At 51.7% G+C, this 10,187-nt stretch overlaps 1 long non-coding RNA gene across 2 annotated transcripts; it reads left to right on the top strand.

Annotated features, from left to right (window-relative positions):
* On the top strand, positions 1,526–9,812 carry LOC105373494 (uncharacterized). Of its 2 annotated transcripts, none has more exons than XR_923085.3 (4): positions 1,526–1,808; positions 6,242–6,641; positions 6,856–7,133; positions 8,144–9,812. It is a non-coding gene; the product is annotated as an uncharacterized LOC105373494 (long non-coding RNA). The 2 variants fall into 2 exon arrangements; XR_923084.3 differs by lacking the exon at positions 1,526–1,808 and adding an exon at positions 2,525–3,575.
* Positions 9,813–10,187: the final 375 nt, after the last annotated feature.

The following is a 10,187-nucleotide window of genomic DNA, read 5'->3' as shown; positions in this document are numbered from 1 at the left end:
TGGGGAGGCAGGAGACAGGGTGGGCCGTTCCCAGGGGCAAGAGCAAGGCAGGGCAGGGCCAGTCCTCAGGGAGAATCCCAAGAAGGCCACAGCAGCACAAAGATAAGCCCTCATATTTCCCACGTGTCACCTGGACAAAGAGCCGTGATGCCCCCCATAACAGCCGGTCCTCACGAGAATCCAGAGAGCTCGCTAGGGAGGCAGACATTATGATAACCCAGTTTACAGATGAGGAAACGGAGGCTCTGGAGGGGTTCATTGACCTGCCTAGGTCACAGAGCCAGCCCGTTAGCGACAGAGCCAGAGCTCGAAACCCAGATCCCGAGGCACATCTTCCTCCAAAATGACCCAGAGAGGTGATGTCTCTGAAAGCAAAGCCAGGGACAGCCACCAAGGCAGACAGGGGCCGCAGTTTTGTTCAGGCAGAAAATGCCAAAGGTGCCACACTCCCACCTCACCCCCACCCGGCCTTCACTCTCAAAAGTGCAACTTTCCTGCTGGAGGAGGGGAAGGGTTGAGCTGGGAAGACATCTTCCCTCCTGTGACTCTGAGGCCCAGAGGCTGGGCTCGGCAACTCTCTGGGATTCACAGGGCGCCTCCTGCGGGACTTCTACATCTCTGCCATGACAATGTTTACCTATTTATTGCCACAGAAAAGGAGCCAGATAGCAACAGCTAGAAACTGAACCCTCCATGGACTCTCTCCCTCCTTCCCTGGCAGCATTCACCTGCACAGTGGGAAGTCCTGCAGCGATGGGCCAGGTGAAATGGAGTGGGCAGGGGCTCTTGGTGAGGTGTCATTATGGTAGTCATCCGGGCTGTTCACAGATGTTCAAGTCTCCTTTATGCCAGGCCCATGGTAGGAGTTGACTTCTCCATCCACTTCAATTCAAGCATGGCCATGTGAGTTGCTCTTACCAACAAAATGTGGGTGGAAGTGGGTGGAATGTCACTTTCAGACAGAAGCCTTAGGAGCCCTTGTGTGGGCCAGCATGTTCTCTATTCCTGTCTCTGAGATCCTGGACACTCCTGTTGAGATGAAACTCTGTCAGACTGGGTCACCCAGTGACTGTGATGCCCAGAGCCCTCCTGCTGACTCAGTGGTCATACTGCATATGTCAGAAATAAACTTCGCTATTTTCATCCATTGAAACAGTGGGCTACTTGTTACCTACATAACCCAGCCTATCAGCCTCGATGCAGTCACCAAGCTAGTCAGTAAGATCCCTGCCCAGGACTTTAGAAATAGGACCTGCAACTCTCTAGAGGGCTGGGCCCATAAGGTGTAAACCTGGCTGCTGTGTTTTGAGATGCCCTGAACAGGCTAAGTGTGAGCAACAGGCTGTTTATCCACTCAGATGCAAGTGGGCTGAGTCCGAAAAGAAAGTCAGTGGAGGGTTGTGGGAGTGGAGTTAGTTTTATAGGCTTGGAGTAGGTAGTGGAAAGCTACAGTTAGGGGCAGTTTTTTCGGGCAGGGGAAGAATTTCACAAGGTGCATAGTCACGAGGTGGGGGAGGTCACAAGGCACAACATCACAAGGTGGATGGATTAGTTGGGGCAGGAACATATCACAATGGTGCAATGCTGCAAGGTCAGTTCATCAGTTAAGGCAGGAACTAGCTGTTTCTTCTTCTTTAGTGGTTCTCCTAGTGCTCCAGGCTTTGTGACTCCAGGAGGCCTGTACGTGTGGGTCACAGGGGTCATAATGGCTTGACCATGGTGCAGCCCATTCAGAGGACCTTACAGGAAGCAGGCACACAGTAAGGAGACGTGCAGAGCCCTCCCCAGGATTCTCTCCGCTGCCTAAGGTCTGGATGCATAAAAATCCTTGTGTCCCGGGAAACTCTTCCCCTTTTCTTAGACAAGCTTGGGTTGGTTTAGGTTGCACTCAACCACGCGTCCTAATCCAGAGTAAAAGGGGACATGGGAGAAGCCTCCCTCTTACAGATGAGGCACTGAGGCTCAGAGTGGCCAGGTGCCTTGTTCAAGATCATAGGGCCTTTGAGGACTAATGCTCGCCTGCTCCCTTTCTAGTGAAATAATCCAAACAGTGAAGATCCACTGTGAGTCCTCCCTCTCCCTCTCCTCTCCCACTCTCCAGAAGTAGCCACTCTTAGTAAGAGTTTGGTGGGGTTTGTATCAGACCTTTTAAAAAAGGTGTTTATCAACATATATGTATACAATATTCATACAGTTATATTGGAAAATGGGATATTGACCTCATTTTTCTGAAATTCACTTCTTTTTCACTCTTCAGATTGTCAATATTGCCAAATTCTAACTGTGCCTGGAGAATCTGGTGATGTATCTGGGAGGGAAGTGGTGATTAAGGTCGGGGCCACCTTGAGCCCTCGTGTGTCCAGACTCAAAGGACTGAGGTCAGAAAATCCTCCGGGCAGGGCTGAGACTTAGAGTCAGGGTGGACCCTTCCAGGAAGTGGTGCAGCCCCTCTGGGTGGCCGGCCCCTCTGGCTAGCTCTGACCTGGAGAAGTTCAGCCTTTGGTTTCAGTAAAATCTGCTACCCTGTGGAATCCTCCCACTGGCCTGTTATCTCCCCCTTAATTTCTGGGGCAAATTGCATTAAATGCTTTCCTTCCTCCCACAGTGGGCCAGGCAGGAGAGAGGCTGTTAGCTGCAGGCTAGGGAGTGTAGCCCCGGATTCTCACCTGGCAACCCCAGTAATGAGCACTGCAGAGACAGCCACAGACACCCTTATTGACCAGGAAGAAGTCAGGAGCCCAAAGGCAGAGAACCAAGGGCTGCGGGCCTGGAGGGAACCCAGGGAAGCCTAGACAGCCAGAGGCAGGCAGGCAATTAAAGGAGGGGGTGGAGTTTTCAATTAACAGCTCTTCTGCTAGAAGCAGGTAATTAACGGATTAGCAAGGCTGTTAGCAAGGCTGCTTGCTGCCAGTGAGGAACCTGGCAGGTGCTGCCTTGGAGAAGGAGGACCAGGCTCCAGATTCCACAGGAAGGAAAGGACTCTTCGGAGGCAGGATCCTGAGGGCAGCTGAGAGTCATGGGACTCAGCAGGGACACAGTGAGCAGGCTGGAAGGGCGGGAGGCAGGCCAGAGGGGATGGGGCAGTATAATCCCACTGTCCCCTGGCCTCGCAGGGTCCCTGGTTTGCAGAGCCCTCTTTGCCTGGGATGGGCTAAGGAGGCAGTGTATGAGAATATCTGGGGGTCATGGTGTTGACACCCCTGGAATTGGCACATTACCACAGAGCTCACACGTTTTCACAGTGGTTTAGGGGGGAAGCTGCATAAGGCGGGGCTGACAGCAAGGACTTTGACATTAGACACGCTTCAGTTAAGCCTCGCTCCCACTTCCCAATCTAGGGGACTAGGGGATCCTCAGACAGCCCAGATGTTCCTCAGACTACTCAGCACCTTTCTAGTTAGGCAGGATCATGCCAAATTCTAAAGAAGCCAGTACGCACCTCCATCTGTGTCTTCCCCTGCCAGGGAGTTGGCAGAGGCCACTGTTCCAGACAGCAGAGCCTCAATCAGCCTGAATCCCTGAGCGACCTGCATGGAGCAGATTCCCTCGCCAGCCCCCATGAGTGGGAGTGAGAGGTAAACTACTGTGTTAAGTTATGAGATGTTTAGAGCTGTGTGTTACAGCAGCGTAACCAAGCCTACCCTGACTATTACACAGGGTCAACCTCACCTTTGTAAAATGGGTAAGAATGATACCACCTGGAATGATTATTGTGAGGTTGAGTGAGAGGATATATGACTTGGCTGAAGGGTACACTTAGCTCCTGGACCCCACACCCTCTCCAAAAGCAAGGAATGTTGCCATGGACCAAGAGCCAAGCCCAGGGACATTTGATTGGCCACTTCTAGCAGAAGAACTCCTGTAATGCTTAGCAAAGTGTTAAAGGGTTGAACACACAGGGGAGGGGCCTGACCTGTAATGCTTAGCAAAGTGTTTAAGGGTTGAGCACACATGGGGAGAGGATGGTGGAGGCCTGGGCTGTGCCCTCCGGAAATGCTTGGCCAGCTCCCTCTCTCTGGCTTCTCCAGTTCTCTTTTGTCCCCAATATGGGGAGAGAGGCTGGGGGCTGCTACCCCAAGTCTTGCTGGCTGGAGCCGTGAGCATTGCTTGTGGTGGTGCTGGGCTCTGGGAGGGCTTCCCTTGGTTCTTGAAGGCCCCAGGCCATAAGTGACTCTTGTGACCCCATTAGCAGCACAACTTTCCCTCTGCCCCCTCTGTCCCATAGCAGCCCCCAGCTTTGCCTCCTGTCCTGCCACACCTGGACCCCACCATCTTTCCGTCATAAGCCTCCAGCCTGTCCCCTGAGCTGGCCCCACTTCCCTCCATTTGGGAGAAGCCGTGGAAGCTGCTGACTGTTCCCCCCTCGTTTTTCAGCCTGTTCCCCACTGTTCATGTTTGGTCTACAACATCAAACCCATTTCTTTTTCAGCTGATCTCATTTCTCCTGAGTTTCTGATGCTCTGAGTCCAAAGCCTAAACAACCGTATTCTTTTCACTCTCCAAATACAAAGCCCTCTCACCCTGGCTCGGCGGTTGGCTCCCTGCTCTGAGCCAGCTCACCTGATCCTTTAGAGGAAGAATGTTCGAAGCACAGGCTTTAAAAATGTCCTTCCTAGCTTGTGCATATTCTATTTGCACTTCCCCACTCACTCAAGAAGATGCCATTTCCCCCACAAAGCTGGGAGCCTTAATGCCCTTCTCCAGCACCCATCCTGCCCACCGTGGCTGAGGTCACAGCTCTGGGCTTTGAAATGCACAAACACAATCAGAGGTCAACTCCTGTCATTTGAGGATCCCTGATTAGAAAAGAGCTTGATATACAAGCAGGGTATGTATGGAAATAAAAAAATTAGAAAAAAGAGAAATAAAACTGGACACACAGATCAGCAGGGGTTAGCGGTCTCCTTGTCATTGTCACAAACAAACCCCTGTTCTGGTTCATGCCAGCCACTGCCACCCTTACAACCAAAAGTACAGTCACTAGGCCTGTGCTGTCCAGGGCAGCAGCCACTAACCATGTGTGCCTGATGAGCACTGAAAAGGAGCTCAGAAATGTTGAGATGTGCTGTGTGTAAAATATACACTGAATTCTAAAACTGGGGATTAAAAAGAATGGGAAACACCTTCTCAATATTTTGTATATTGATGACACATTGCAATGATAGTATTTTGAATATATTGGGTTAAAATATGTTATTGAAATTAATTTTACCTGTTTTTTTTCTTTCTTTCTTTTTTTTTTTTTTACATGGAGTCTCGCTCTGTTGCCTAGGCTGGCGTGCAGTGGTGCGATCTTGGCTCACTGCAAACTCTGCCTCCCAGATTCAAGTGTTCTCCTGCCTCGCCTCCTGAGCAGCTGGGATTACAGGCACCCACCATAACTCCTGGCTAATTTTTGTATTTTTAGTGGAGACAGGGTTTCACCATGTTGGCCAGGCTGGTCTCGAACTCCCAACCTCAAGCCATCCACCCACCTCAGCCTCTCAAACTGCTGGTATTACAGGCATGAGCCACCACACCCGGCCTCTTTTTCTTTCTTAATGTGGCCACTAGAAAACTTAAGATCCCCATTGCAGTGCATGTTGTATTTCTGTCACACACCGTTGCACTGGGCACCACTCTGTCACTCCTGCCATGCGGAGTCCTGCTCTTGGAATGCCGTGTTTTTGTTTCTCACTGCTGCTGTAACAAATTACCACCAGCTCAGTGGCTCAGAACAACACACATCTATTATTTTGCAGTTCTGGAGGTCAGACTCTGACCTGGGTGTCACTGGGCTACAGCAAAGGCGTCATCGGGGCTGCGTTCCTTTCTGGAGACTGTGGAGAAGAATCTCTTTCTGTGCTTCTCTGAGCTGCCCACATGCCCTGGCTCACAGCCCCCTTCCATTTCCAAAGCCAGCAATTGTTGTGAGGCTTTCTCACACTGCGCACCCTCACGCGGACTCGCCTACCTCCCTCTTGCACATCCCACCTGAATAATTCAGGATAATCTCCTGACATCGAGGTCAGCTGATTAGTGACCGTAATCCCATTTGGGCCCTTAACTTCTCCTTGCCATGTAACCTAACATATTCATGGGCTCCAGAAATTAGGACTTGTACATCTTCAGGGCCCTTCTTCAGCTGCCCACATGCCAGTGCCCCGTGCGTGTGTTTTCTTGTTCTGTGCTAACTGGCCAGCTCTTGGAAATGACTGGTGTGGGAACACTTGCTTCATTTTCTCCCTGTTCTTGATTATAGTCCAGAGATCTGCTGGGGGATGGTGTGAGCCCAAAGAAGCCGATTTCCTTCTTGAAGGGGGTGAGAAGAAGGGAGACTGTGACTTGACCAAGCCAATCGGCAAACTACCTTCCCTCCCAACAGAAGTTGATTTGTTCAGGAGGGGGCATGTGACAAAAGCTGGGCCACTCAGAGCCCATCTAAGGACTTCACTGAAATGCTGACATAAAGCAGCCACTTGTGCCACAGGGGGAAAGCCAGCCTCAAATGAAACTGTCTCACAAAGAAATAGAGATGAATGACTTGTAGAGAACTGGAAACAGAAACAAAATGAAACTTGCAGAGAAAATATTGCAAGTAAATGTTGAACCTCTGGATCGAACCATGCCTGAGTCCCTCCTGGCTCTGACTTTTCAGTTAGGTGGGTCCACACATTCCCTTTTTCAGCCAAGCCATTTGAATGGGATTTTCTGCTCTTTGCAAAATAAAGATTTGCGATGACTTAGAGAGGGGTTAAAGCCATATTTGATCTGGACACATGAGAGTACCTGAAGCCTGTCCTCACCCAGCTGTCTCTTCCCACTGGTCTTTGAGGCACAAGTCCTAAAGGAATGCCCTGTCTCTCTTTCCCCCAGATCTCCAAGAGGACCCTCCTGCCTCTGCTTCTCTTCCTCCCCTGAAGTCAATTTTGCAGTGTGCTGGTCAGCCTCATCCAGCCCCTCTTTTCTGGGAACTGCTCTAACTCGATGGCTGGATTGACTGGCCAAGAGACAGACATCAGGGTGAGCTGGATCATCAGACAGTCTCTCCTAGGAATGTGAAATACGAATTCAGAGAGGCTGGCAGCCCATTGTTCACGGGAATGCAGAAGCTGTGAGGCTGAGAAACCCCTTTCCATCCAGAGGGAAAGAAGGTATAGTGGGTGAGGGGAGAACAGCAGAGGCAGGCAACCCTGGGGCCGGGGAGCCAGAAGGAGTGGCTGCCTCTGTCTCCAAGGGCTTGCTAGCTTGAGGTCAGGTCCTTCCTGAGGTCTGACTGCTCCTCTTGCCCATTGGGTCTGAAATAAATTAATTATCACCCGCCCTTTTTCCCTATAGATGAGTTGAATCAATTTCTATCACTTGACATCAGAAGAGCCTTGAATAAGCCACACTTCCCATTCCCATGCTTGCCCTAGGACCCATTGCCCCAGATGGGGAGAAGGCCAAGTGAGCACCCGGCCTTCAGGAACCCTCATGGAGGCAGTTCTCTTCCCCCACTTTCTGCCAGGCAGGAGAGGCTGCTGAGGCTGCAGCAATGACCTGGGCTGCCTGGGGTTACTGAAGGCAGCAGGAAGCAGTGTTGGGTTGAGTCCCAGGTTTCCGGACTCCACACCTGGTGGCCGACGCAGCTAGCTACCTAGTCCACAGCCATTCTCCCCTTCCTCTCCCTCAAAGCCAAAGGTGGTTACACAACACAGTACAGCCCATGACAGGCATCTTCAGAGTGGGGCTTCCAGGACAGCTACTGCTTTCCTGTTGGGCCTGGTGGCTCTTCACTGTACCTTTCCCCTTCCCTATATTCCTCCCTGGGGCACAAAGTTCTGCCTGAAGGTGTAGCAGCAGGTATTTGTGACCCTGAGGATGAAGGCACCTGGTGAGGATGTCAACACAGGGAGCTGGAAGGACCCTGGTCCCCTATAGCCTCACCACAGCCCCAGCAGTGGGACCATCATGGATCCTGACCTTTGGGCTTCTCATTACTCAAGGAATAGAAAAACCCCAAATCGTGTTTGCTTAAGACCCTCTTGTCAGGTTTCTAAGTCTTTATTATTTGCAATTATAACTGATAATTTCCTATGTCCTCTGGGAATTTGGGTCATGGGTGGAGTTTTCTGGCGAGAAGAAGGGCTCAGGGACTCTCTAATTTCATCATTTTGCCCAGGGTCCAGTTTCCTCTGAAGTTTGCAAGGACACATGGAAGGTCAGCAGAAACTTGGCCATCTCAGTGTCCTGGTGGGTGATTTTTACGAGGATTTCTCATCACAGAGGATGGGAACCCAAAGGAGAATGGCCGCCATTGGAGCCTTTCCTGTCCCTCCACTGCCCAGAACAACTGAACTCTGTGTCAGTTGGGCTGCAAGTAAAGAAAACTCAACTAATGGAGGCCTCATTGAACAGGAGTTCATTTTACTCACGTAACAAACCTATGTGGTCCCAGGATTGTCTCACGGCCCAGTAAAGGCAAAGCATGGCGTTAGCAAGTCTGAGATGTTCTTGAATTTCCCCCCATTGCTGCAAGATGGCCCCTACAGCTCCAAACATCACATCCTCAATGGTGAATAAAGCTGATCTCCAACTGGGAAGAACTTCTGTCTCCTGGTGTGGTGAAGGCTGTTGGAGCATCTGCAGGAGCATCCAAACCCTGTGCTATTGGGGTAGTCCATGCCCTTCAAGCCAGTCATGGCTTTCCTGTTTCCTCTGTCAAATACTGGCTAAGGATAGGTCTGTGATGCAATTCTGGCCAGTGAGACATGATGGAAGAGCTGCTGGGTGAAATTCTGGGAAAAGTTCCCTTACTCTTTAAAAGATGGATCCAGGAGAAGAGAGTCTCTTTTGCTGGGTGTTGTCATATCTGGAGGTGATGCCTGGAACTGTGGCAGCTGTCTTGTGATTATGAGGGAAGCTGGCCTGAAAACAGACTGGCCCACTGAAGAGGAGGGCAGCATGGAATGTGGAATAAACCTGGGTCCCTGTTGGCTTCCTGCGGCCCTGATCTAACCAGCCCTGAGCTGTCCTACCTCTGCACTGCTTGGCACAGGAGACACATCTTGATTGTTTAAGCCCCTTTGAGTTGGGTTTTCTGTTCCTTGCAGCTGACAGCACTCTAACCAATCCACACATTTCCCTCTGCTCGATTTCCTGCTCCAGAGAGACAGGCACAGACCAGTACCGGGCAGCCCCACTCTGGGGAAAAACAACAGTGCTTATTGTTTGCCGGCACAGTGGGAGCTCTGCCTCCTGGCACAGTGGGAGCTCTGCCTCCTGTGGCAGGCTGGCCATTCCAAAACCACACTGCCTGCCACTGCCATAAAGAGGCCAGGACTGTGTTCAAAACCCCAGGCAGCAGGAGGAGTGGTTTGTGGGAGGTGTTGTGGTAGTGCATAAAGGAAGGTCATTTCCTGACCCTCAGAACCCACACTGCCCTCAGCCCCACACAGCCCTACCCAGCCCAGCATCGCCCCCAGTGCCCCTGGAGACAATAATGGCAGCCACCCACTGGCTGCTCCTGTGCGGGCAGGGCAGGAAAGCTGGTGGTTAAGTGCTGGAGAACCCCCAGGCCCTGGGGCTTGGCCGGAAAGGATTTCTGTAGAGACAGCGTGGACATTCTGTCCTCTGCAGGCCGCCTGGTACAGGATGAAAACAGGCCGGCTCAGTACTTTTTTGGCAACCGATTATATAGATTTGCATCCACATGAGCTCCCTCTTGCAATGACCCAGACCCCCACGAGGGCTCTCCCCACAGTCATTTGTGTTGAGAACGCTCTGAGCCCTTGAGCCTCCTTCCTCTCTGGGAAAGGGACTTTTTGGCAGTGAGAAGGACCTGGAGGGAGGCACTTCTGGAGGCATTTCCTTTCTGGGAGGAAATGCTCCAGGGCTCTCCTCCATCCACCAACAGCCTCCAAGTTGAGTAAGTGGCAGCGAAGGTCACGCCTGAGCTGGCAGCCATGGAACCTCACCTCCTGCTTTTCCAGCTTCGTTCCCAAAGACGTCCCTCCACGAGCTTGTGCTCATGCCATGCCTCTGCTGGAAGCCCTTGCTGTCTGCAGGTGGCGATGTGACCCGGGCCTGGCCCTGGGGATTTGTTCAGGCGTGTCACTCTTTCTGACCAAAGGGGACCAGCCTTGGGGCTTTTGTGGAAACCTCTGAGAAAGGGAGGTCCACAATTCTGGTTTCCTAGCTGGAGAGAATACGCCTGGCCCTGCTGG

Source organism: Homo sapiens, chromosome 2 (genome assembly GCF_000001405.40).
Source record: "Homo sapiens chromosome 2, GRCh38.p14 Primary Assembly".
In the NCBI taxonomy this organism is placed as follows: domain Eukaryota; kingdom Metazoa; phylum Chordata; class Mammalia; order Primates; family Hominidae; genus Homo; species Homo sapiens.
Note: the sequence above shows the minus strand (reverse complement) of the source record. Positions and strands in the feature narration are given on the sequence as shown.